This window comes from Homo sapiens, chromosome 12, assembly GCF_000001405.40.
Source record: "Homo sapiens chromosome 12, GRCh38.p14 Primary Assembly".
Lineage (NCBI taxonomy): Eukaryota > Metazoa > Chordata > Mammalia > Primates > Hominidae > Homo > Homo sapiens.
Genome location: NC_000012.12, coordinates 45,449,931 through 45,477,059, shown reverse-complemented (window position 1 = coordinate 45,477,059; position 27,129 = coordinate 45,449,931). Strand labels below are relative to the sequence as shown.

General features: G+C 40.2%; 1 long non-coding RNA gene across 2 annotated transcripts in view, besides 2 other annotated features; it reads left to right on the top strand.

The window, feature by feature from the left end:
• The window catches only part of LOC105369743 (uncharacterized), a 178,153-nt gene that overhangs the window by 91,785 nt on the left and 59,239 nt on the right, over positions 1-27,129 (top strand). Inside the window, exons 5-6 of one of the 2 annotated variants that reach the window (XR_944887.3) lie at positions 112-385; positions 8,369-8,631. This is a non-coding gene — a long non-coding RNA (uncharacterized LOC105369743). Of the gene's footprint in view, positions 1-111; positions 386-8,368; positions 8,632-27,129 lie in introns of those variants that run through there. The other variant, XR_944886.3, reaches the window with a different exon arrangement.
• Positions 3,016-3,531: an enhancer, noted in NCBI's record as "NANOG hESC enhancer chr12:45867312-45867827 (GRCh37/hg19 assembly coordinates)". NCBI's record gives its function as "activates a minimal SCP1, AML or CMV promoter by ChIP-STARR-seq in naive and primed H9 embryonic stem cells {active_cell/tissue: H9 hESC(naive and primed)}" and the evidence as "EXISTENCE:reporter gene assay evidence [ECO:0000049][PMID:30033119]".
• Positions 7,447-7,992: an enhancer, noted in NCBI's record as "H3K4me1 hESC enhancer chr12:45862851-45863396 (GRCh37/hg19 assembly coordinates)". NCBI's record gives its function as "activates a minimal SCP1, AML or CMV promoter by ChIP-STARR-seq in primed H9 embryonic stem cells {active_cell/tissue: H9 hESC(primed)}" and the evidence as "EXISTENCE:reporter gene assay evidence [ECO:0000049][PMID:30033119]".

The window sequence follows — 27,129 nt, the reverse complement described above, 5'->3', positions numbered from 1 at the left end:
TTTTTGTTTTTCAAAATAGGCTTTTCAGCCATTAGAAGTATGCTCATTTGCAAGAAAAAGAATATCATCTAACAGTGGCTTAAATAAAAATTGTTACCTTTTCTCACACAGGAAATCTGGAGATAGAAAGATTTGGGTATTGGTTCAGCAGCTCAATGATGCCAGGGCCAGTGTGTTGGCATTCTTCTGGCCTTATCCTCATGGTTGCAAATTGGTTCCTGCTGTCCCCAGTCAAAGGAGGAAGAAGAGGGAATTGGCAGCAGTTATCAGAGCCTTTATCAGAAAAGCACAGATTTCCCAGGAATCCCCAGGAGACTTCTGGTTACAGTCCATTGGCCATAATGTGGTCAAATGGGCTTCCCTATCAACAAGGGAGACAGAGAAAGTGAGTTTTTATATTTTTCAGCTTGTTCTGTGGAAGGTGGCAAGAGAAAAGTGGGGTGGGGATTGCTTCGGCTAAGCAGATCCTGTAGTGTTTGCCACAGGGGTATTTAATGACTAAAATCCCACTTGGTTGTCAGGTAAGTAAGCAAGAAATTCTATGCTTTTACCTTATCACAGACTTCCTTAGTCTCCAGATTATTCTGAGAGATAGGCACATACACAAAGTGTGCTCCTTGGTGTGTATTTTAAGATAATGTTTTGTATTTTGCACAGAAGCAAATATTGCCTCTTCCATATTATAGTTTTAATAAGTTTATGGCCTTGTCATTAACTCATTCAACCAATATTTATTCGGATTTATCTATATGATAGTAATTGTAGTTGATACTGAGATTTCAGAGATGAATAAGATAAGATCCCTAGCTTCAAGTAGTTCATAGCCCAAGAGTGAAATACTTTGATATAAGTAGTTATATACATATAATTATAATTTATCAAAAGAGCACTGAAGAGCATATATAGTGATATGTATCTTCGGCTCTCTATACATATCCTTAGTCTGGGGACAATCATTTGAGTTTGTGGATCTTGATAGGAGATCCAGGAAGATCAGTTTAGAGATAATTCAAAGCTTCTTAAGCAAATGTCACTTTGTAATGACACTACCTTTCTTTGATCTCTATATTGTCCCTCAAGTAGTTGAAGCCTGTAGTTCTTTAATATATGGTTAGCTTACTTAGCTTGAAGATAATACAGCAGTTTGAGTTTAGTTATGAGTATTATACTTGAAAGCTAAGAACATGATCAGCATTTAGCTTTATATCTTAAAGGGGTTGGTGAGTTTCTGCACCTGGTTCACTTGACATGCCTGAGCTCTGAGTAAGAATAAGAATCAGAATGCACCTGGCTTCCACAATAAAGAAAGCAGCCAGAGGTACCCCATTTTAGGGCCACTGAGATGAGCTGTTCCCAACCAGATGACATGGGGTGATTTCCTCTTCACTTTTCTGCTTTCAGCAGGTTCAAAACTGCCTGGAATCATGAGAATCTTTAATTCCTCTTCTTGGCTAGGAATCTTCTCCTGTTTTCTCCATTGGATTACATAAGACCAGGATATGGCACTAAAGCTTGCTTTTCTTTACCTATATGTTGTGACTCCATGTCTCTGTGGAAAAGCTCTCTCATTTAGGACTGAAGTCCACAAATTCAAGCACATGGGGCAGATACTGTAGTTGTATGGTCTGTGAGCTAAGAATGGTTTTTACATTTTTCATTGGTTGAAAAGACCAAAAGGAGGATATTATTTTTGACCTCTGAAAATGTTATGAAATTCAGATTTCAGTGTCTGTGACTAAACATTTATCGAAGTATAGTATGCTAGGTTGTTCTTGCATCGCTATCAAGAAATATCTTAGACTGGGTAATTTATAAGAAAAGAGATTCAATGAACTCCCAGTTCTGCGGGGTGCACAGGGAGCATGGTAGCATCTGCTTGTGGGGAGTCCTCAGGAAGCTCCCAATGGTGGTAGAAGGCAAAGGGAAGCAGGTACATCACATGGTGAGAAGAAAGAAAGAGAGAGAGAAAGTAGGGGTGGAGTGGGGAGGTGCCACTCTTCACTTTTCTGCTTTTGGCAGGTTACAAAACTGCCTAGAATCATGAGAATCACTTTTAAATGATCAGAATCTCATGTGAACTCAGTGGAAGGTCATTTATCACCAAGTGGATGGTCACTTATCACCAAGAGGATGGCCCAAGCCATTTCCTGAGGGATCCACTCCTTTGATCCAAACACCTTCCACCAGGCCTCACCTCCAACCCTGGGGATTACATTTCAATATGAGATTTGGGCAGGGACAAATACCTAAACAGTATCATTTTGTCCCTGGGCCCTCCCAAAGTTCATGTCCTTCTCACATTGCAAAATACAATCATGCCTTCTTGACAGTCCCTGCAAAGTCTTATTTCAGCATTAACTCGAAAGTCCACAGTCCCATCTGAGACAAGGCAAATCCCTTCTACCTATGAGCCTGTAAAATCAAAAACAAGTTAGTTACTCCCAAGATACAATGGGGGGATAGGCATTGCATAAACATTCCCATTCCAAAAGGGAGAAATTGACCAAAAGAAAGGAGCTACAGGCCCGTCAAAGTTTGAAACCCAGCAGGGCAGTCACTATATCTTAAAGCTCCAAAATCTCCTTTGACCCCATGTCCCACATCCAAGGCATATGATGCAAGGGGTGGGCTCCCAAGGCCTTTGGCAGCTCTGCCTCTGTGACTTTGCAGAGTTTAGCCTCCAAGGCTGCGCTCATGGGCTGGAGTTGAATGCAATGCCTGTGGCTTTTCCAGGCTCAGGGTGCAAGCAGCTGGTGGATCTACTCTTCTCAGGTCTGGAGGATGGTGGTCCCCTTCTCACAGCTCCACTAGAAATGCCCCAGTGAGGACTCCATGTGGGGCCTACAATCCACATTTCCCCTTGGCATTGCCCTAGTAGAGTTCTCTGTGAGGGCTCTGCCCCTGTAGCAGGCTTCTGCATGGACACCGAAGCTTTTCCATTTATCCTCTGAAATCTGGGCAGAGGCTCCCAAGACTCAACTCTTGTACTCTTGCACCCACAGGCTTAACACCACAGGGAAGCCCCCAAGGCTTATGGTTTTTACCCTCTGGAGCAGCATTCTGAGCTGCATCTGGGGCCCTTTGAGCCAAGGCTGGAGCTGGAGCAGCCAGGATGCCGGGAAAAATGTCCCAAGGCTGCGCAGGGCAGTAAGGCCCTTGGCCTGGTCCCTGAAGCCATTAAGTTCTCCTAAGCCTCAGGGCCTAAGATGGGAGGGGCTGCTTCAAAGATCTCTGAAATGCCTTTGAAGCCTTGTTTTCCATTGTCTTGGCTATTAGCATGTGGTTCCTTTTCAGTTGTGAAAATTTCTCCAGCAAGTAGTTGCTTCACAGCCTGCTTGAAATCCTCTCCTGAAAAAGCTTTTTCTTTCTTTGTCACATGGCTAGGCAGCAATTTTTCCAAACGTGTATGTTCTTCTTCCTGTTTAAATATAAGTTCTAACTTTAAGTCATTCTTTTGTTCCCACATCAGAGGGTAGGTTGTCAGAAGCAGCTAGGCCACCTCTTGAATGCTTTGCTGTTTATAAATTGCTTCCACCAGATATCCTAAATCATCATTATGAAGTTCAAACTTCCGTGGATCCCTAGGGCATGAACAGAATGCAGCCAAGTTTTTCGTTAAGGTATAACACATGTGATCTTTGCTCTAGTTCCCAATAAGTTCTTAATTTCCATCAGAGACTTCAGCAACCTAGATTTCACTGTCCACATCACTATCAGCAGTTTGGTCACAACCATTTGGCTAGTCTCAAAGAAGTTTCAAACTTTCCCTCATCTTCCTGTCTTCTGAGCCCTACAAACTCTTGCAACCTCTATTATCCAGTTCCAAAGCTACTTCCACATTTTCAGGTATCTTTTTAGCAGTGTCCCACTCCTTGGTACCAATTTTCTGTATTAATCCATTCTTGCATTGCCATAAGGAAATATCTGAGACTGGGTAATTTGTAAGAAAAGAGGTTTAATTGACTCATGGTTCTGCAGGCTCTGCAGGAAGCACAGCAGCATCTGCTTCTGGGGGGTCCTCAGAAAACTTTCGATCATGGCGGAAAGCTAAGGGGGAGCAGGCACATCACATGGCAAGAACAGAGAAAAAGAGAAAGTAGGTGGGGGGAGGTGCCACACACTTTTAAACAACCCAAATCTCATGTGCACTCAGAGTGAGAGCTCACCTATCACCAAGAGGATGACCCAAGCCATTTCCTGAGGGATCCACTCCCATGATCCAGACACCTCCCACCAGGCCCCACCTCCAACATTGGGGATTACATTTCAACATGAGATTTGGGTGGGGACAAATATCCAATCTATATCACATAGCCATGTTCATTGATTTACATACTGTCTGTGGCTGAGAATTGAGTAGCTGCAACAGAGGCTGTAGCATCTACAAAGCCTAAAATATTTACTATCTGGCCCTTTACAGAAAAATTTTGCCATCTTCTGATTTAGAAGAAAAGTTACCACCTCTAGATACAGAAAAGAAATCTAGGCCAGGCACGGCGGCTCATGCCTGTAATCCCAGCACTTTGAGAGGCCAAGGTGGGCAGATCATGAGGTCAGGAGATCGAGACCATCCTAGCTAACAAAGTGAAATCCCGTCTCTACTAAAAATACAAAAAAAAAAAAAAATTAGCCAGGAATGGCAGCAGGCACCTGTAGTCCCAGGTACCTGGGAGGCTGAGGCAGGAGAATGGTGTGAACCCGGGAGGTGGAGCTTGCAGTGAACCGAGATCATGCCACTGCACTCCAGCCTGGGCAACAGAGTGAGACTCTGTCTCAAAAAAAAAAGAAATCTATAACTGCACTAATATTCTGCAGTAACAAAACTGGGGTTGCATGTCACCTATCAATCTGCTAATGTGTAGGGGAATTGACACCATTACGCAGCACAGTGGTGATCAAATATTTTTAGCAGTAGTAGCCTTTTTTCAAAGAATTTTACTATTTTATCCATCCAGTATGAATTATATGTATATGTAAAATATATGTACACACATATTCTGGACTGGTTTCTAAGGTCCCTTTGGCGGTCTCTAAAATCCTGTGGCTGTGGGATTGTCTCTGCAGTCTCAGTCCCTTACAGTCTATGTTCTTAGTTAGAAGTACTCTCTCATTGCAAGGAGGAGCACTACAGGGCCCAGGAGGTTCATTGTTCCCACCTCCATAAATGGCACTGATTGTCTCCACAAACCAATAACATCCAGGTCAATCTTAACAACTATTCTTCTCCTTTATCCTCACATTCAGTTCACCACCAAGTTCCATTAGTTCTGTCTCCTAAGTATCCCACCTAAGTGTCTTTATCTTTCTCTTCCCAGTGCTACCTCCCTGCCCAGTGTTCCCAGCACCTGGACTCTTGGAAAAGCCTTTCAATGATATCATTAGTCACTCTTGATCCTCCTGAAACACTGTTTGTAAAGCAACCAGAGTAGGCCTTTTAAAAAGGTCTGCTGTGAGATTCCTGGTTCCAAACTCTGAGTGTCTTCCCAATGACTGTCTCTTCAGGCCCATCTCTTATGTCTGTCTCTGCCAGACCCAACCATGCTGGGCTCCTTCCAGTTCTACCTCAGGGACTTTATGCATGCTATTCCTTCCCTTCACACCCTACTTTCCTATTTCCTTTTTATTCTTTAGGTCTTGGTTTCCATTTATGAGATGAAATACTGAGTACATATTGTGTTCCAGATACTGCATTAAGAGCTCAGAATACAGATATGGAGAAGACAGACATAATCCTGTCCCATGAACCTTATGATCTAATAGGGAATACAGGCATTAAACAAATAATCCTCAACTAAGGAATTAATAAGCATTGTGATAAGTACTAGGAAGCTGAAATACAGGGAGATTTCAGAGAGTGAAACAGGGTAATGACCTAATCTTGGGGTCATAGGGAATCCTCTGTGGAAGCGATGTTTAAGCTGAACTATTAGAATTCCAAGCCAAGGGTAAACCATGCACAAAGGTCCTGAGGCTGGAAAAATGGAAAGAAGCCCAGCTCTAGAGTATGAAGAGTGAGAGAGATAATGGTTTATAATAAGCTGAAGACCAAAGGAGGGCCCAGATCACATGCCCTGTTAAACATTTTGGCCATTGAGAATTTAGGCTTAAGTGTCCCTTCCTCCAGGAAGCCTTCCTTCACGGTCCTAACTAGAAGAGGCAAACAGGCCCATCCCCAGTTCTGCCATCACACACATATTGTTCCATTGTCTCTCCTCCTTTGCTGGCCTTATTGCCTTGTCTCTTTTCCCCTAGTCCAAGAGCTCCATGAGAGTAAGAATCTGTCTGTCCCCTTCCTCGCTGTTTCCTCTGTGCCTAGCACAGTGCCTGGAATATAATAGGAACTCAATAAATATGTGTTAAATTAATGAATGAACCTTCTTTTCTGTCCAATGATGGACTCTTCTTGTGCTCCGCAGAAGGGGCCTTATTCATGGATTATTCTTCTCAGTCATTTCCATAGCCTCCCTGCTACTCTCCTGACTTTCCATTCTCCTGTCTCTCAGTCCATCCTCCTCCCCGCTGCCTGAACTACTATCTTAAAGTAAACGTAGAATTATATCTTCTTAAAAAATCTCTGTATCCTCAAATATCATTGCTCCTCAGTGCCAAAAGAATAAAATACAAATTCCTCTGCTGCCAAGCCCAAACTTCTTCCCCACCATGAATTGGACCTGGCCTATCTTTCTAGCCTCATCTGCTCCTCATTTCACATATCCTGAGCTCCAGTCATAGTAGACTTCCCACAGATCTTCAAATGCACCCCACTGTTGTTATTGTGCCAACTGATAATGCACTTCTTGATCTTCTCTGCTTGTCAACTTCTGGCTCATTCTGTGTCCCCCATCTGAGCCCCAGAATTCTGTTTTTTATTCTGTTTCCATCACCCTGTGGTTCTCAAAGTGTGAGAGAAAACTTGTTAGATGTGGGGGTTCTCACCCCCACAGACTTCCTCAAAAACTCCGGGGCTGGGGAGATCTGTGGTTGCACAAGCCTTCTAGGTGGTTCTAGTGCACACTAAAGTTTGAAAGTCACTGCCATACCTTATTGCTGTATTTTTTGTTTAGGATTTTAGACCACGTGAAGTACTAGTGTTACGGGATCTCTAGGGTGTCGATTTTCTGTGGCTGTGGCACCTTTGCCTGAGTTCTTGTCTTGTGTCCAGGAAGAATGAGGTACACAGACAAGTGAAGGGTGAAGAAGAGGAAGAGTTTTATTTGGTGTCAGAGCAGCTCAGAGGAGTGGGTAGCTCCTTTCTATAGGCAGGTCATCCCCTTGAGTGTTCAGCTCTCAGCGGAGAGGAGACCCTGGAGAGGGTGGCTCCTTTCTGCAGGCACGTCATTTGGATGTCTCTGCAGGTCTCTGAAGCTCTCTGCTGCAGTTGCTGCTCTCAGTGGAGACGGTACTCCTCTCTGCAGCTGGTTGTCTCCTTGTCTTTCTGTCGCTTGCTCTCTTCATCCTCTCTCTGGCCATCCTCTGTTCTGCTCTGCTTGAACCCAGGGTTTTTGTGGACCTCAGAGGGGAGGAAGTGTGTGCCAATTGGTCCATGGGCAGCCATGGGCGGGAAAGAAGAGGCATCATGAGTCCTCACTCTGGTCTGCAGGATTGGTAGCCCAGCCCCCTACTTTCAGGCCTTCCCTGGTCCAGAGGTGGGGCCTTACTGGGGACCTTCCCCCTTCCGCCTAGGAATCAATCTGCCTCCCATTGCCATTCATGGCCCCTGGATTCCGTCCCAAAACCTACTCGAAGGTTGGAGCAGGTGCCAGGAGCAGAGAGGCCAGGCAGTGGGAGCAGACACCCCCGAGCATGCATGGATTAGGGGGTCCTTCCTGGGGCCCCCAGGGGTGCAGACTGCAGAGACGCCTGGGTCCTGTGCCTAGGAGGGCAGCCGCAGCCGTACCCGGGAAGGCAGAGCCTGCCTGCTCCCGGCCCTCCCCCAAGAGCACAGGAAGGCTCAGATCCACAGCTGCAGTTTGGGCGGCTGTAGCCCCGCTGAGGAAGGCGAGGCTCCTGCCTGCTCCGTAGAGCAGGAGGCCTGGGTCTGCAGCTGCTGTTTGGGCAGCTGCAGCGGCACCCAGTGAGCTCCCACTCCAGCCCAGAAGGGGCGGGGCTCCCATAGGCTCCATGGAGTGTGCAGCCGGAGCTGTGCCTCCCTGCTGTAGCCAGCGTGATCCAGCAGCCACTGCCATCACTAGGTAGTTGTTTACTTGTCAGTATCTTTTATTTAGAATGTAAGTAGCCTGAAGGCAAGAGCCAGATCATATCTGTTTTGTTTTGACCACAGTGCAATAAAGTGACACACTAGTGCATGCTGGGTGGCTAATGCCACTCTTTCTATTTCTAACATAATTTAACGTTCCCTCCTCTCCAGTTAATTTATTTCTTTGGAAAATAAGAGATATGATATGATCTATATCAATACAGTAATTAATTCACCTGCAACATGATCGGCGATGAATCCTGGACTCGAATCTTAAGAACCTAAGAAGATGTGTGCTGGGGCAGACTGAATCGTGGAATTGCTTGCCCAGTTGGACTTCGGATTTATGACAGTGCTTTTTGGACTTTAATGTAGATATAAATCACCTGGGGATCTGTTTAAAATGTAGTTTCCTGGCCCAGCAGGGCTGTGAAGGGGCCTGAGAGTCTGCATTTCTCACAAGCTCCCAGGTGCTGCTGATACTGCTGGTCTGATTGGGCCCAGAGGACATTTTATAAATGACCTATCTTCTTGCAAACTAATGTTGCAGCTTCTTCTGGCACAGGGAGAGTTAGTGTGTGGCACTACTTCTTTGTTGTATTTGTATTCATGCCTGGATCAGAGGTCCTAGCCAATAGTTCTCAGTTCTGGGCGCACATCTGAATCACCTGTAGGTGCTCTAAAGAAACAGCACTTGCCTGGGCTTGGCTCTCTGAAAGTTGGGTTTAATGAACCACGGCCGTAGGCAATGAAGTAAAACAGGTGCAGAAATTGCTGTTCTATTCTACACAGCGGATCTATGACAAGTGTGAAATTTATCATCTAAATGATAAGATGATAAAATGCATGTGAAGAAGGACTTAACATTAAAATGATTAAAAGAAAAAAAGCAAATCTTGATGTTGATATAAAATATGACGAACTACCTTCTCAAGATGGAAATCAAAGGTAGGCTTGCTCTGAATGCACCTTTCTCTGGAAACACTCGTGTGTCTAAGTAAGTTGTTACTCAGAAGGAGAGTAGAAACTCGTGCCTAGTTACCTGGATGATTAGGTTGGCCATCTTTATTCCTGCAGTAACGGCACATTTTCCAAAATTAAGCCATAGTTGATCGGATTATTATTCCCATTTTTTATTCTCTCCTGTGTTATAGAATTACAGGACAACCATGTCCTTGCAAAGTGACTTTGCAGTGCCTCCCAAAACGCAGGGAGAGTAGATTTCCTTATCTGACTGATGTTGGGCTCAGCCAATGGAATATCATAATGCAAGCAGAGACTTCAAATGTTCTCAAGGGGTTTTTTTGGCTTCTAGTACTGTTGCCATTTCACAATAAAATTATACCCAGGGTAGCAGAGGTTCTGATTCAGAAGATCTGGGGTGCCGCTCAGGTATCTGCACTTATTAAATATTTAACACAGGTAATTCACTGACTTCTTGGTTTAAAGGACGAGAAAGTAAAACACATAACATAGATGCATTTTGTCCAATGCTTTTACATTCTTTTAACTAAACATCTAGAATACATCATCTTATCTGATAATTACTATGATGGAGTTGACACCATTTAATTGTGGAGTGACATTGTGGTTAGTTTTTCATAAAGTCAAAGTATTCCATTGAAAGATTTTTTTATTTTGAGAATGTAATATTTTCTTTTGCTTTTTTTGTTGTTGTTTGAATTGTTTCTTTCATGGAATGGTGGTGACAGTTGGTTAGCTATTTTTTTTAACTTGGGAAAATTAAAAGTTGGAAATCTTATGTCTGTTTCCAATTTTGGTGGGGTATAGGAGTAAGTGCAGAATTTTTATAGTACAAGAACCCAAAAGCTAGGGAACCACCTTTACAATCTATTAACTTCATTCAATGTGGATCAATCAAACATAGAAGAAGATTAGCTGATGATTAAACTAACTTGCATGTAAGGATCTTTCCTAGTGTCTGGTAGCATAAGCAAAATATGCCTGAAAGGAAATCCATACTAATTAGCTCCTATATGTTAGGACCATATTTTCCTATCAATTTTTGTTGTGAACTACATCTTAAGTCAGTGAAATTTCTCTGCAGAAAACAAAGATGGAGAAATAGATTTTAGCCTAGCAAATGTAGTGTTTACATTAGATTCCACCTGACTACATAAAAATGTCAAAAACATTCTTCCTAATAGTGTTATGAGATGTTTGAAAGTAATAAGCTGTTAATTCCTTTTTCTGGGATTTCTAGCTGACTTAAAATAATGATAATATCACTGATATATTTTCAATGTTAAAAAAAGGTTGGCAACATCTTCACAAATATGCAGTACTGCAAAATGGAGACAAATTATACCAGTTGGCCATGAATAGGTTGTCCTGTTTATTGTTTGGAGGGGCATTAACTCTCTCAAACCCATGAGGCAGCTGTGGTATGCACAGGGCCCAGTCCTGGCTTTGTGTCTGGCCACCTGTGTGACCTTGGACAAGTTGTTTAATGTTTCTGGGCCTCAATTTATCAGTAAAAGGAAGGGTTTAGATTAGGTGGTTTTTCAATATTTTACCAGATCAGAAATTCTGTAATTTTTTTTTACATTCATATAAAAACATCTTCAGATAAAGAGGGAAAAAAATAAGGTGAGTTTGGCTGAGTTATTGCTCACCACTTCCTCGGTAAGAGAGTGCACTTGGGATGATGGAACGTAGCCACAGGAGGGTTAATTCACTTGCCCCAGATCATACATTTATTTAGTGTAAATGTATTTATTTAGTGTAAGGACTTATTGAAATTATTTTTACCCTTTTCATATGGATTATGACATTCAGGAGAATTTTTTTGATTTACAATTAAAATGAACTCTATCTAAACACTAAGTGCCCTGACTTTAAACACTAAATGCCCTGACTTTAAAAAGTATTTAAATCCTCCCTTTAAAAGATAAACAAAAACCAATAAGTTGGGAAGCTGCACCCCTTGCGTTTTCTCCATTGCTACTCTACATGCACTTGAGTGTATGTGGGAGTGAGTAGAAAAGGCACATCATCTTTTCTCCCATCACTTTTTACTCACATTCATTATAATATAGGAATTATCTCAGACCTATACAACATTGCCCAAATGAAACCTTGCTATTCTCAGTTTTCAGATCAGGAGAATGAAGTACAGAAATGTTAATTAGTTCTCAAGGACACACAGAAAATTACAATTAAGGCCAGGATTAGACTCTAGGCTTCCTGACTTCCACACCTTTCTTTCGTTAGGCTGTTTTTCTTTCGTGGTGTCAGTTTAGATTACTCATTCTTTTGAAGGACTTGGGGACTCTTAGGAAATGCATCATTAATAATCCCAGCATCCCTGGACGTGGGCACAGGTGGCATTCCCAGGTAACAGATGACGGGTTTTGAGCAGGATGTTGGGGAGGTTGAAGCATAAATTAATAGGACAGTAAATGAAGGTGTGAGGACAGCCTGGGCTGTTACCAAAAATCTAGCAAGCACTTTAGCACTGGGATTCCCTTTTCCCCCTGAGCTGCCTACTCCAGATGACCACCAAGCATTTGTTTTTAATCTAGTGCTGTCCCTGCAACTAATATTCAAGGGCATAAAGAACTTGTTGCTTCTGTTTTGATTTTTTTTTTTTTTTTTTTTTTTTTGCTTAGAAACAGCAGATTTGAGTGTAGTTTGTAAGAGTTTCATTGAACGGTACTGCACAAATAGTATTTAAACGTTTCCCCAACCCTAATTAGAATATTGTTTTATTACACTGCACGTTTCCTAAATCTCACACTAATTAAATGTATATTGTACTTCATTATTACCAACAAAAACTATCTGTGCTCAAGATTTATGATTATGTACTGCAGTGGTTGACGACTGTATCAGCATTTCAATTGCAAAGACATTTCAGAAGTTTAGAGCTTATCTTGAAAATTAATTGCATCTGAAAACCTGGCACAGCCTGTTCTTACACAGACCAGCCTGGGTCCCCCTTGTGGCTCCCGGCTCCTTTTTCTGGAACAGTTGCCAGGAGAGTGGAGTGAGGAGTGGAAGTAAGTAAAAGGAGGTAAGTAAAAGGAGGGTGGATGGGGGAGAGTGGAATGCCATCCTTTTCTCAGAGCCTTTCCACCAATCATTGGAATCTATCTGAAAATTTCTCTCTGCCTAATGAATACGGTGAGTGGACGGAGGCTTGGTTCCCAGCACTCCATTAGCAAGCCAGCCAGGTGCTGGCTGCTGTCTAAACTGGCATCCTTTTTCTTTTGTTTTTTATTTTTTGAAGCAAAGATTTTTAGCATTTGGTTTGTTTTTAGTTGATCTCAGCTGTGGAGTCAAGATACGCAGGTATTTGTTGGCTTAGAAGTAGATGGATGACCCTTGAAGGTAACTGGACTTTTTCCTGCCAGCTTGTCTGCTCAACTTTCCAAAGGGAAGACAGGGAACATTAATTGACAGCTACTCTGGCTAGTGGCCTGACAACTCAGGTAGGTGACATTTCTGCTTTGTGAGTTTTTATTGAACTCTGCCCAGGAGCATGAAAGAGCAGTTTTTCAAAGAAAAAAACCAAGAGAGTTTACCTTTTTTATTTTAATTTTTATTTTACTAGGAAGGTCTTGGTAATAGACTAGGAACTCTTTTGGCTTATTCTGAACATTAAAAATCAAAGAATATTGAACGAAAAACTTTAGGCTATATGAAACTACTCAAAATAATTACTTTGAAAATAGCCCTGCTGAATTCAGGGCTGTTTTTGCTTGCAAATAGCAGAAACCAACACACACCTCCTTAAGTAAATGGAAGCTAAGAGCTGGTACATAATATGAGTTTGCGATTGTAAACTGAGAAGTCTTCAGGAACCAAGATTCCTGTTCTTTTCACCTCTCTCATCCACACTTGGCTTCGTCTCTGTCTCTCCACAGCATATTTCATTTCTACATCATTTAGGGCACCTGCTTTACCCTCTGCTTCTCACTGTGGCCCGGTCCTCTCTGCCCGCCCATTCATCCACACAGTCTCCAAACAATCCCAGCCTTGAGAGTCTAAATGGCTTCCCAGTTCCAGTGACCACTACCAACTACTGCAGTTTTATGGTCTCAGTTTGAATTAATAACAGAGACTCTCATTGACTCAGCTTGGGTCAGATTTCCAGCCCATGTCAAATCAGTTTTAATGGCTGTGGTAGCACCAGGACTACTAGATACATTACTCATTTTTGCAGAGTCTGTGACAGTGGCATTGCCAAAGAAGAGAATGTTGGCTGGGCACCAAGGCACCCATCCCAATTGTGATGCAGTAGGACCCAAGGCTTTACAATATATACATATGTATGTGTATATATGTGTTTATATACATGGAAATGGCTTAATGACAAGCATTATCATTGGTGAAAGATGGCTGATGTAAAATAGTTTAATTCAATGGTTCTTAAGCATTAGAAGATATAAATATCCTTGGAAAGCCTATTAAAAATGCAGACGCCAGGGCTCCCGTCAGAGATCCTGATTGAGTAGTATGGCATACAGGAATCTGTACTTCTTAATAAGCCCTTCAGGTGAATCTGATGAAAATGGTCCACCTACCTCCTTTTGAGAAGCACAGGTTTCTCAGCTATTCTTAACATGCATTCAGGTATAATAAGTGATCAGTGGTGAAGAATTTCTTTGATGATACTTATGGTAGCCAACAAGGACTTCTGACTTCCCCATAGTGCTGGAACAGGTTAGGGAGCAACAATGAACTGCTTCTTACATCTAAGCTTCGACTGGGATTTAGTGATATGCATGTATAAACAGTTCAGGAGCCTATTCAGAGATCCCCCAAGTGTTTTTGTTTCACTAGATCTAGTTCCTGTCTGAAAAATAAAAGGTAAGTTAATTATGAAATAACACGGTCGTACTAATAATGCTATAGCAGTCAGCACTACAGTGAAACATGCCAGAATTGATTACATTAGCTTGCCTGGGAGGATTGATACTAAAGTGTCAGGAGTGACATGAAAGAAGTTTCTGTGCTATTAGTCCCACCTCACAGGAGCATTATTACAGAAGATAATTTAATTTCTTTCATCTTTGTTTCCAGGGTTTCATACCTTGCTGGAAATGCTAATTTTAAAGAGCACAGATTTGTAGTTTTTCATCCCCAAAGTTAAAAATACACTCCACATTTGCAAGCTTGCTGTTTCATGTGTGTTTCAGAATAGTTTGAGGTTTGCTGTTGGGGCAAGTATCTACTTCACAGAGCTCAGGGTTCAGCACGTTTTATTGGGTGGAAAAAACAAAGAAGTTGAGGCAGAATGAAATTAAAAAGAAATTAAAGGCCGGGCACCATGGCTTATGCCTGTAATCGCAGTCCTTTGGGAGGCTGAGGTGGGCGAATCACTTGAGGTCAGGAGTTTGAGACCAGCCTGGCCAACGTGGTGAAACCCAGTCTCTACTAACAATACAAAAATTTGGCCAGGTGCGGTGGCACATGCCTGTAATCCCAGCTACTCAGGAGGCTGAGGCACAGGAATCCCTTGAACCCAGGAGGCAGAGGTTGCAGTGAGCCAAGATTGCATCACTTCAGACTCCATCTCACAAAAAAAAAAAGAAAAGAAAAAATTAAGATATGAGGTTTGTACAGCCCGTACATCATCATCTTTCCACATGAAGCACAGAGGGTGGTTTTCCAGGCGCACACAGGCGCATGGCACCTGTGTTCATTTAAATGATTACGCATTCAACCAAATTTGAATGTGTGATGTGCAATCATTTGAATCGCTCATTATACATTAAAATAAACTAACACAAACACAACTCGTTCTCTGCTGCTTTTGAGAAACTAAGTAAATTAAATGAAATGAAGGTGATGCTAGGCTGCAAGATTTGACATACAAAGGAATCAGAAAATTATGTCTGACCATGATCAAATAACTTTCAGCCCTGGTGTGCAATTAGAAAAGCAGCAAAAGGAAGGACAGTATCTACTCCCTGCCTTGGACCACCATGCCTGAGACACCCAGACCACTTGTTTCACACGGGGCTTTGGGTGCTAGCCAAGGGATCATGTAGCATAAAGGGAAAGAGGAGAGAAAAAAAATTAAAAAGGCAAGTGAAAGGAGAGAATGTAGTCCTCAGGGAAGTGCTTACATTTCCCCCAGTTCTCCCATTATGATTGCCTATAGTCACTCTCTGCTCCTTTTAAAAAAAATTTTACGGCCAATGTTTGAGCCACTTGAGTGGGCTCTGATCGCTCAATCCACTAAAACTATTTTCACAGTTTAATCATCTTGCTAAATCCAAATGTCCTGTCTTTGTTGACCTGTCAGCATTTGAAGTGTTTGACCTGCCCACTCCTTCCTGAAACAACTTCTTCTCTTGGCTTCCAAGATAACACACTCTTCTAGCTTTCCTCCTCCTTTTCTCATAACCGTTCCTTCTGAGTCTCTTCCTCCCCCTCCTCCCCTGATCAATATCTAATGCTTGGCAAATGTTAGAGCTTGGTTTTGGATGGGCTGCTTTTCTCTCAGTGATCACATCTAGGCTTACACTTGCATACAGATGAATCAAAATGTACATGTCTGCGTCTAAAAGCATCCCTGAACTCCACATTTATATATTTAATGCTTACTTGATGTCCTCATCTGGGAGTCTTACAAAGATCTGAAACTTAAATTTTGTTTTTAATTTTTGTGGGTACATAGTAGGTGTATATATTTATGGGGTACATGAGATGTTTTGATACTAGCATTCAATGTGAAATAAGCACATCATGGAGAATGGGGTATCCATCCTCTCAAGCACTTATCTTTTGAGTTAAAAACAATCCAATTACACTCTTTATGTTATTTAAAAATGTACAGTTATTTACTACAATGTAACTCTGTTGTGCTATCAAATAGTAGGTCTTATTTTTTTGTATCCATTAACCATCCCCATCTTCCCTCTTCTCTAATCCCCCACTACCCTTCCCCTAGTAACCATCCTTCTACTCTTTATGTCCATGAATTCAATTGTCTTTATTTTTAGATCCCACAAATAATGAGAACATGCAATGTTTGTCTTCCTGTACCTGGCTTATTTCACTTAACCTAATAATCTTCAGTTCCATCCATGTTGTTGCAAATGACTGGATCTCATTTATTTGTATGGCTGAAGGGTATTCCATGTACCACATTTTCTTTATCCATTCAACTGTTGATGGACACAGGTTGCTTCCAAATCTTAGCTATTGTAAACAGTACTGCAACCAATATAGGAGTGCAGATATCTCTTCCATATGCTGATTTCCTTTCTTTTGGGTATATACCCAGCAGTGGGATTGCTGGATCATATGGTAGCTCAATTTTTAGTTTTTTGAGGAAACTCCAAACTGTTCCCTGTAGTGTTTCTACTAATTTACATTCTCACCAGCAGCATAAAAAGTTCCCTTTTCTTCACATCCTCTCCAGCATTTGTTATTGCCTGCCTTTTGAATATAAGCCATTTTAACTGGGGTTAGATGATGTCTCATTGCAGTTTTGATTTGCATTTCTCTGAAGAGAGATCTGAAATTTAACATGGTGAAAACATAACTCTGAACTCTTAATTTTTTTTTTAACACTGACCTCTTCTACTTAATATCATCTCCATCTACCTGGTTGCTCAGGCAAACAAAAAGTAAGTTATTCTCACTCCCCATTTTTTTCTCGATTCACCCTGCATCCAATTCACTGGCAAGTCCACTCAAGACTGCTATGTCCAAAATGCTTCCTAAATCTATCAGGTACCAACCACCACTATTCTTCTCCTTGATTAGTTTGATAACAGGCTTCTCTGCATTTCAGTAGCCAGAATGTTCTTTTCCCCCAATTTTCTCTATCTTTACTAATATCACCCTTGTGAATCTACCATCATATTTTTTCTGGCTACTGCAGTTGTCTCTTTACTGGTCTCCTAACTCACCAACCTAAGGTGTTCTCTAAGAATACAAATCAGATTTGACACTTCTTGTAGGAAATTCCTATTACATTTAGAATAAAATTCAAAATTACGACCTACAGAGCCTTAAAAAACCTATTCCTAATTTCTATGACTACATTTCTATAGTTCCTAATCTCACAGAATGTTCTTTTAAAAACTTAAATCAGACTTTGTTTTTCCTCAGATTAAAAACTGCCAAAGTCTCGTAATCCTTACCACACTGTACAATGTAATGTCTGTTAAGAAAGTTTTTTGGCTCCAAGTCATGGAAAAACTGACTAATGATGCCTTGAACAAAAAGGGATTTATTTTTCTCACAGAACAAGAAATCCTGAGTAAGCAATTAGTAGTATTGGTGCAGCTGTTTCATGATTCCATGAAGTACTCAGATCCTTGCTTTTTTCTCTCAGCATGTTCACATTTCACCTTATGTTTGTTGCCTCATGGTCCCAAGATAGTTCTTAAAGCTCCAGACATCACATCTACATCATCTGTGTTTAAGATAAGAAAAAGGTGGAGGAGAAAAGAGCTGTACCAGCAAACTCATTTCTGTTCCAGGCCTTTTTCATTTATCATTTTTTCAGCTGGAATGTGTTTTCCCCAGATTGTCTTATGATTTTCTTCTTGTAACTATTTTGGTCATAGCACAAATGTCATCTCAAAGAAATGAGTTACTAATACAAAGTAGCACCTCCTTGTTCCACGTCACTATCTGTTTTTTGTTTTTGGCTGTTTTCTTATAGAAATCTATATATTAGTTTGCTAGGGCAGTTGTAACAAAGTATCACAGACTGAGTGGCTGAAACAATTGAAATTTTATTGTTTCACAGTTCTGGAGCCTAGAAGTCTGAGATCAAGATGTTGGCAGGGTTGGTACCTTATGAGGGCTGTGAAGGAAATATCTGTTCCAGGCCTCTCTCTTTGGCTTGTAGTTGGCTGTTTCCTTTTTCTGTAAGTTTATCTTCTCTTTGTTGAGTTTCTGTGTCCGAATTCCTTCCTCTTATAATAATACCAGTCTTATTAGACTCCACCTAATGACCTCATTTTAACTCGATGTCCTCTCTGAAGACCCTACATCCAAATAAGGTCCCAATCTGAGGTATTGTGGTTAGCATTTCCAAAAGTGAATTTAGGGGGAGGGTACAATTCAACTTGTAACAAATACAGCAAATATGTGCTGAATGAATGCATGAATTTTAATCATAGCCACCATTTACTGAGTATCTCCTTTAATTCTCACAATGACCTAATGAAGTAGATACTATATTTCCTTTTACAAATGAAGAAACCTTAGCCAGAGATAACAGTGACTAGTATAGAGAGAGAGCAGGGAGGTAGCATACTGCAGGCAGAAAGATTGTAAAGGTGGGATGTCTCCAGCAAAATGGTGAGGAAAATGTCCTTTGAGACATCTTCATTATCTTTGATTGGTCATACTGAATCATGACTAGACAGGAAGACTAAAATAGAGAGTTTTGACAGGGGTTGGCAAACTCTTTTCTGTAAACGGCCAGATGGTACATATTTTAGGCATCTAAGTCATGTGGTCTGCTATGGCTACTCAACTCTGCCACTGTAGTGTAGCAGCAGCCATAGATAATAATGACTGGCTGTGTTCCAATAAAACTTAAAGCCATACCTCAGATATATTTCAGGTTTGGTTTCAGACCACCACAATAAACAAATATTGCAAACAAGCAAGTTACACACACTTTTGGGTTCCCAGTGCATATAAAGTTATGTTTATACTATACTGTAATCTACTAATTGTGCAATAACATTATGTCTAAAAATTGTACAAACCTTAAATAAAAAATACTTTGCTGCTAAATATTGCTAACAATCATCTGTGTCTTCAACGAGTCATATTCTTTTTGCTGGTGGAGGGTCTCGCCTCAATATAGAGGGCTGCTGAGTGACCAGGGTGGTAGTTGCTGAAGGTTGGGGTAGTTGTGGCAAGTTCTTAGAATGAGACAACAATGAACTTGTTGCCATCAATGGATTCTTTCTTTCATGAAAGATTTCTCTGTAGCATGCGATGCTGTTTTATAGCATTTTATCCACAGTAGAACTTCTTTGAAAATTGGGGTCAATCCTCTCAAATGCTGCTGCTGCTTTATTAACTAACTTGTGTAATAGCCTAAATTCTTTGTTGTCATTTCAACAATGCTCACAGAATCTTCATCAGGAGTAGATTCCATCCCAAGAAACACTTTCTTTGCAGATCCATAAGAAGCAACTTCTCATTCCTTCAAGTGTGATCATGAGACTAGAGCAATTCAGTCACATCTTTAGGCTCCAATTCAAACTCTGGTTCCTTTGCTATTTCTGCCATGTCTACAATTACCTCCTCCACTGAGATCTTGAATCCCTCAAAGTCATCCATAAGAGTTGGAATCAACTTCTTCCAAACTTCTTTACTTCTCTCACTCTTCACAGAATTGAAGAGATTTAGGTACTTGCTCTGGATTAGGCTTTGTCTTAAGGAAATGTTGTGACTAGTTTGGTCTTCTTTTGACACCATTAAGATTTCTCCATATCAGCAATAAGACTGTTTAGCTTTCTTATTATTCATGTGTTTGCTGGGTTAGCACTTTTAATCTCCTTCCAGAACTTTTCCTTTGCATCTACAACTTGGCTGTTTGGCACAAGAGGCTTAGTTTTTGTCGTATCTTGGCTCTTGATATGCCTTCTTCACTGAGCTCATTTCTAACTTTTGATTTTAAGTGTGAGATGTGTGACTATCATTCATTTGAATATGTAGAGGCCACTGTAGGGTTGTTAATTGGCCTAACTTTAATATTTTTGTAATTCAGGAAATAGGCTCAAAAAGAGGGAGAGAGATGGGGGGGAACAGCCAGTCAGTGGAGCAATCACAAGACACACTTATGATGAAGATTGCCATCTTCTATGGGTGTAGCTTGTAGTGACCCCAAAATAATAACATCAAATTATTAAATAGTAACATCAGCAATCACTGATCTTTGATCACTCAGTGAAAAAGTTTGAAATATTGTGAAGATTACCAAAATGTGACACACACAAAGTAAACACATGCTTTTGGAAAAATGGCTCCAACAAGACTTGCTCAATGCAGGCTTGCCATAAATTTGTAAAAAAATGCAATATCTGTAAAGTGCAATAAAGTGTGTCCCTGTATTTCCAGAAGTTGGTGGCTAGCTGGATTTGGCTTATGGGATGCAGTTTTCTGAAGCCTGAAAAGTCCTATGAAAATTTTCACTTTGATATTCTTTCCTTTTGTTTTCCTAAAAGTAAATTTATTTTGTTGATTTAGAAGTCGTGCTCACCTGCTGTCTTTTTGATGGGCAGTGTTTGCTTCCCTGTTTTGGATAAGGCTGTGCTAAACTCAAAGACTAATAAAGATGTTTAGGATATCCACGGATGTCCTCCAGAATGTTCTGTCCTCTGGGAAATTCTGCTTTGTCACCCAGTGTTAAAGCGAGAGCTCATTTCTTCCGTGACAAGGGAGAAGAGCCGCAGGGGTAGAGGAGAGATCAATGGGACAGGAGTGCACAACCTGTCAATCCTGAGTTTCTTTCCTGGCTCAGGGATGGACAAACATGTGGCTTTGGTGCCAGTTATTCCAATTCTCTGTGACTTGTTTTCTTCCTGATGATGTAGAAAAACACATTTTATTTAAGGACGTAATCCACCTTATAGGTAATCTAGATAAAAATACTTGCTAAATAAGCCAGGAAAAAGTGGCCTAATTTAGGAGTGCTAAAGAATTCACTCTTGTTGCCTGAACATTTATATTTTCAACTTGTGAGACCCTTTGCTCTTAGCCTTTGATGAGTTTCTTGTATTTCTTCCTGATTACAGGCCTTAAGGACTCATTCTGATTTTTTTTCCCTTCTCAGTATCTTCCTGCCCCACTGTAGTCTGGGGGTTCTTCTTTCTTCAAGTCTGGACTCAGAATGAGATGGAGCTTCCCATCAGCCCCACCCTCCACCCCTTAGGCAGTGTCCTAATCAGCCCACATTCAACTCATCTTAGGTAGTTTACTACCAGAGCAATCTGGGAACAAAGAAGGGATAACAGAAGTGAACATGGGAGTTATATGACTGATAAAGATTTTATCGTAGTGGAAACTGTTTTGATAACTCCTCTGTGTCTTCACTTGCTAAGTAAGAAAACTTTTTTTTTAATTACAAGAGTAAGAAATGGACCTCTGTTTTTGGTACTATGGTAGACTAGCTATCCTGAAAAGCCACCTAATACAAAACTCCTAGGAATGCTAGGTAAAATACAACAAACATCCTTTAAACACATAGCTGAAATTGTAGGACTATAAGATAAATCTCCAGGGGATCAAAACAAAGGAGGAGCTGGAAACCTGTGTAGCAATTTCATCCTGAAGCACTGGCTTCTGAGTGACGTTTGTCAGTTTTAATAACCAAGTGGGCTCTCTTGCAATGGCTGAACAGAAGGAAAGAGATGGGGCTTTAGATCCACTCAGGGTAGAAGGTTGGTTCTCTAAAGCCAGGACCTCAAGGGATACATCTTAAATAAAAGTATGGATTAGAAAAAAATGCAGCAGTCTGCAAAGGGAAATAACAAAGACACTTGTCTATCATGGCCCAAGCTCTAGGTTGGGGGTGCGGGGAGAGTCTTCTCTGATGCAATCAGGGCCTTCCCATATGTGGGTTTGGGATTGGATTTACACTACCTGAATCTCTAGGAAATCCTAGTTGGGGAATCAAAGTGGTTCTTGTTTGGAGGACCCCCAGGGTCCCAGGCAAAAGCAAATACACATCCTCCATGGAGGCTTGTCCCCACACTCAGTCTTTGCAGCATTCTTATAGGTTAAATCCCAAATATGACTTCCGAGTCCCAAATTTCAAAACAGAGAGGACATGAACCATTTTGTGTAAAAATGTTAGCAGAAACAAGCAAAAGCAAAATTAGATCCCCAATACCTGATATTGGAGTTATTAGATACAGAATATAACCATCATTAGTGGTATAGTGTGTTGTTAATACATGTGATAGAAGATTCAGTTAATTAGGAAGATGTAATTCTAAACTCATGTACCTAATATGTTAGGTCAAAAGTATAAAGCGAAATTTTATAAAATTCAGGTAGAAATTGTAAAACCCACCACCAAAGTGAAAGAAGTCTTTCACACAAATCTCTTGTGAGATCCCATACACCCAAAATTAGTAAGATCATGAGTTAAACTGCAAAATAAGTAAGATTGAGCTGTTGCACATATGTAGAAGCCTGTACCCAGCAATTAGGGAAATACATTAATTTTTATTGTGGCAAAATATACGCATAAGGCCGGGCGCGGTGGCTCACACCTGTAATCCCAGCACTTTGGGAGGCCAAGACGGGCGGATCACAAGGTCAGGAGATCGAGACCATCCTGGCTAACACGGTGAAACCCCGTCTCTACTAAAAATACAAAAAATTAGCCAGGCGTGGTGGCGAGTGCCTGTAGTCCCAGCTACTCGGGAGGCTGATGCAGGAGAATGGCGTGAACCTGGGAGGCAGAGCTTGCAGTGAGCTGAGATCGTGCCACTGCACTCCAGCCTGGGCAACAGAGTGAGACTCCATCTCAAAAAAAAAAAAAAAAAAAAAAAATATATATATATATATATATATATACACACACACACACAATTTACCATCTTTATTATTATTATTATTATTTTAGACAGAGTCTCGCTCTGTCACCCAGGCTGGAGTGCAGTGACATGTTCACAGCTCACTGCAACCTCTGCCTCCTGGGTTCAAGCCATTCTCATGCCTCACTTTCCCAAGTAGCTGGGATTACAGGCACACCACCACGCTCAGTTAATTTTTTTTTGGATTTTTAATAGAGACAGGGTTTCACCATGCTGGCCAGGCTAGTCTTGAACTCCTGACCTCAGGTGATCCACCCGCCTCGGCTTCCCTAAGTGCTGGGATTACAGGCGTGAGCCACCGTGCCTGGCCTATCTTAATTATTTTTAAATGTACTGTTTCAGTTGTGTAAAGTACATTCACATTATTATACAGCCAGTCTCCAGAACTCTTTTCATCCTGCAAAACGTAAACTCTTATACCCATTAAGAAAATAACTCCATGCTGGGCTCAGTGGTGCATGCATATCGTTCCAGCTTTGAGTCCAAAATTTAAGGCCAGGCTGGATGACATAGACTCAACCCTAAAAAAAAAAAAAACCAAAAACAATCTCCCGTTCTCACTTCCCCGAGCTTCTGGTAACCAACATTCTTTCAGTCTCTATGATTTTGACTACTCTTGGAGCCTCATATGAGTGGAATCATACCCCTGTGTGATTTGTACTTTTGTGACTGGCTTATTTCACTTAGGTTCATCCATGTGGTAGCATGTGTCAGAATTTCCTTCTTTTCTAAGGCTGATAATATTCCATTATGTTTATTTACCACATTTTAAAAATCCATTTACCATTGATGGACACTTGCGTCACTTCCACATTTGGCTATTATGAATAATGTTGCTATGAACACGGGTGTACAGACATCTATTTGAGTCCCTACTGTCAATTCTTTTAGGTATATACCTAGAAGTGAAATTGGTGGATCATATGTTAATTCTATTTTTAATTTTTTGAGGAATGGCCATACTGTTTTCTACAGTGGCTGCACCATCTTACATTCTCACCAGCAATACCAAGGGTTCCCATTTATCCACATCCTTGACAATATTTATTATTTTTGTTATTTTTTATTAATGGTAGCTATCCTAATGGGTGTTGGGTAATATCTCATTGTGGTTTTGATTTGCATTTCTCCAATGATTAGTGATGCTGAGCATTTTAAAAATGTGCTTATTGGCCATTTTATATCTTTTTAAGAGGAATAGCTAGTCACGTCTTTTGTCTATTTTTAAATTGTTTCATGGGTTATTGTTCTGTTGTAAACTTGTAGGAGTTATTTATATATTCTGGATATTAATCTCTTATCAGGCATATGATTTGCAAATATTTTCTCCCATCATGTGGGTTGCCTTTTTATGCTGTTAATAGTGTCCTTTGGTGGCTCACGCCTGTAATCCCAGCATTTTGGGAGGCCGAGACAGGCGGATCACAATGTCAGGAGATCGAGACCATCCCGGCTAACACGGTGAAATCCCGTCTTTACTAAAAATACAAAAAAATTAGCCGGGCGTGGTGGCGGGCGCCTGTATTCCCAGCTACTTGGGAGGCTGAGGCAGGAGAATGGCTTAAACCCGGGAGGCAGAGCTTGCAGTGAGCCGAGATCGCGCCACTGCACTCCAGCCTGGGCGACTGAGCGAGACTCCATCTCAAAAAAAAAAAAAAAAAAAATAGTGTCCTTTGGTGTACAGCAGTTTTAAATTTTGATGTAATCCATTTAGTCTTTTTTCTTTTGTTGTCTGTGCCTTTTGGTGTCATATTTAAGAAATCATTGTCAGACTCAATGTCACGAGACTTTTCTCCTATGTTTTCTTCTAAGAGTTTATAGTTTTAGCTCTTACACTTAAGTCTTTGATCCATTGTGAGTTAATTTTTGTGTAGGGTGTTATGTAAGGATCCAACTTCATTCTTTTCTTGTAGATATTCAGTTTTCACAATACCGTTTGTTGAAAAGACTGTCTTTTCCCCCCATTGAATTGGGAATTGACACCCTTGTTGAAAATCATTTGACCATACATAAGAAGGTTTATTTCTGGCTCTTTCTATTCCATTGGTCTGTATGTCTATTTTGATTAATTACTGTAAGCTTGTGGTATTTTGAAATCAGGAAGTGTGAGACCTCCAACTTTGTTCTTTTTCAAGGCTGTCTTGGTTATTCGTGGTCCACTGAAGTTTTATATGAATTTTAGGATGGATTTTTCTATGTCTGCAAAAATTGTTGGGATTTTAATAGAAGTTGCATTGAATTTGTAGGTTTCTTTAGGTGATATTGACATCTTTACAAAATTAAGTCTTCCACTCCATGAGCGTGAGATGTCTTTCCACTTATTGGTGTCTTTTTTAGTTCAGCAACATTTTATAGTTTTTCAGTGTACAGTATTTTGCCTGCTTCATTAAATTTATTCCTAGGTATTTTATTCTTTTTAATGTTATGGTAAGTGGAACTGTTTTCTTAATTGTTCTAGATTTTTCTTTGTTTGTGTGTAGAAATACAACTGATTTTTGTGTTTTGATTTTGTATCTGCAACTTTGCTGAATTCATTTATTGGTTCTAACAGCTTTTGGGGTGTGTGTGGAATCCTTAGGGTTTTTTACATATAAGATCATATTGTCTGTGAACAGAGATAATTTGACTTCCTCCTTTCCAACTTGGATGCCCTTTCTTTTCTTTTTTTTTTTTTCCTAATTGCTTTACCTAGGACTTCTAGTATTATGTTGACTAGAAGTGGCAAAGTGAGCATCCTTCTCTTGTTCCTGAATTTGGAGGAAAAGCTTTTAATCTTTTACCATAGACTGTGATGCAGCTGTAGGCTTTCAATATATGACCTTCATTATGCTGAGGTAGCTTCCTTCTATTCCTAGTTTGTTGAGTATTTACATCATGAAACAGTATTGAATTTTGTCAAATGCTTTTTCTATATCAATTGAGATGATCATGTGGTTGGTTTGTTTTTTTCACCTTTGTTCTCTTAGTGTGTTGCATTATATTGACTGATTTTCATATGGTAAGATATCCTTTGCATTCCAGGAATAAATCCCACTTGATCATAATGTACAGTCCTTTTAATGTGCTGCTGAATTCTGTTTGCTAGTATTTTGAGGATTTTTGCATCAATATTAATTAATTAATTCTTTTCTTGTCGTGCCTTTGGATTTTGTATCAAGTTGATGTTGGGCTCATAGAATGAGTTTGGAAGTGTTCCCTCCTCTTTAATTTTTGGAAGAGTTTGAGGAAGATTGGCATTAGTTTTTCTTTCAATGTATTGTAGAATTAACCGGTAAAATTTCCTGGTCCTGGGCTTTTCTTAGACAAGAGGTTTTTCATTACTGAGTCAGTCTCCTTGCTAGTTATAGATATGTTAATATTTTCTGTTTCTTCACAATTCAGTCTTGTTAGGTCGTGTGTTTCTAAAATTTGTCCAATTCATCTATGATATTCAATCTGTTGTTCATAGTACTCTCATAATCTTTTTATTCTGTCTGTAAAAATTGGTAGGAATGTCCCCCTTTTCATTTCTGATTTTACTTATTTGAGTCTTTATTATTTCTTCTGCTAGCATTGGGTTTAGTTTGGTCTTTTTTCTGGTTCCTCATTAAGGCATAAATTTAGGGTGTTCATTTAAATCTTTTTTTCTATTTAAGATGATTTTATAGTAAACATGAATTTGTCAGAGTTCAATATAATTAGAAAATCTTTGTCTTCTTATTTGAAACCTTTTTTATTTAAAAAAATTTTAGTTGACACAATAATTGTACAATTTATGAGATACAAAGTGATATTTTGATACATGTATACAGTTGTAATCAAATCAGGGTAATCAGCATATCCATTATTTCAAACATTTATGTTTACTGTTTTATACTTTCTAATCCTCTGTCACAATTCTCTATCTTGTTATTTTTTAAAACATTAATTGCAGTTGTTTCAGGGTCTATATCTGTTAATTTCATTATTTAGGTCTCTAAGTCTGTTTCTATTGTCTTTTTTGGTTGGAATTTGGTCAATTCTTATCTTTTTTTTTTTAAATTTAACTCTTATTTTTAAAAAGTTATTTCAGTACTTTTGGGGGAACATGTGATATTTGGATACATGGATAAATTCTTTAGTGGTGATTTCTGAGGTTTTGGTGCACCAATCACCCAAGCAGTGTACATTGTACCCAATGTGTAGTCTTTGCATCCTCATAGCTTAGCTCCTGCTTATAAGTGAGAATATACAATATTTGGTTTTCCGTTCCTGAGTTAATCAACTTAGAATAATGGTCTCCAACTCCATGCAGATTGCTGTAAATGGCATTATTTTGTCCTTTTATGGCTGAGTATTATTCTATGGTGTATATATACCATGTTTTCTTTATCCACTCACTGATTGATAGGC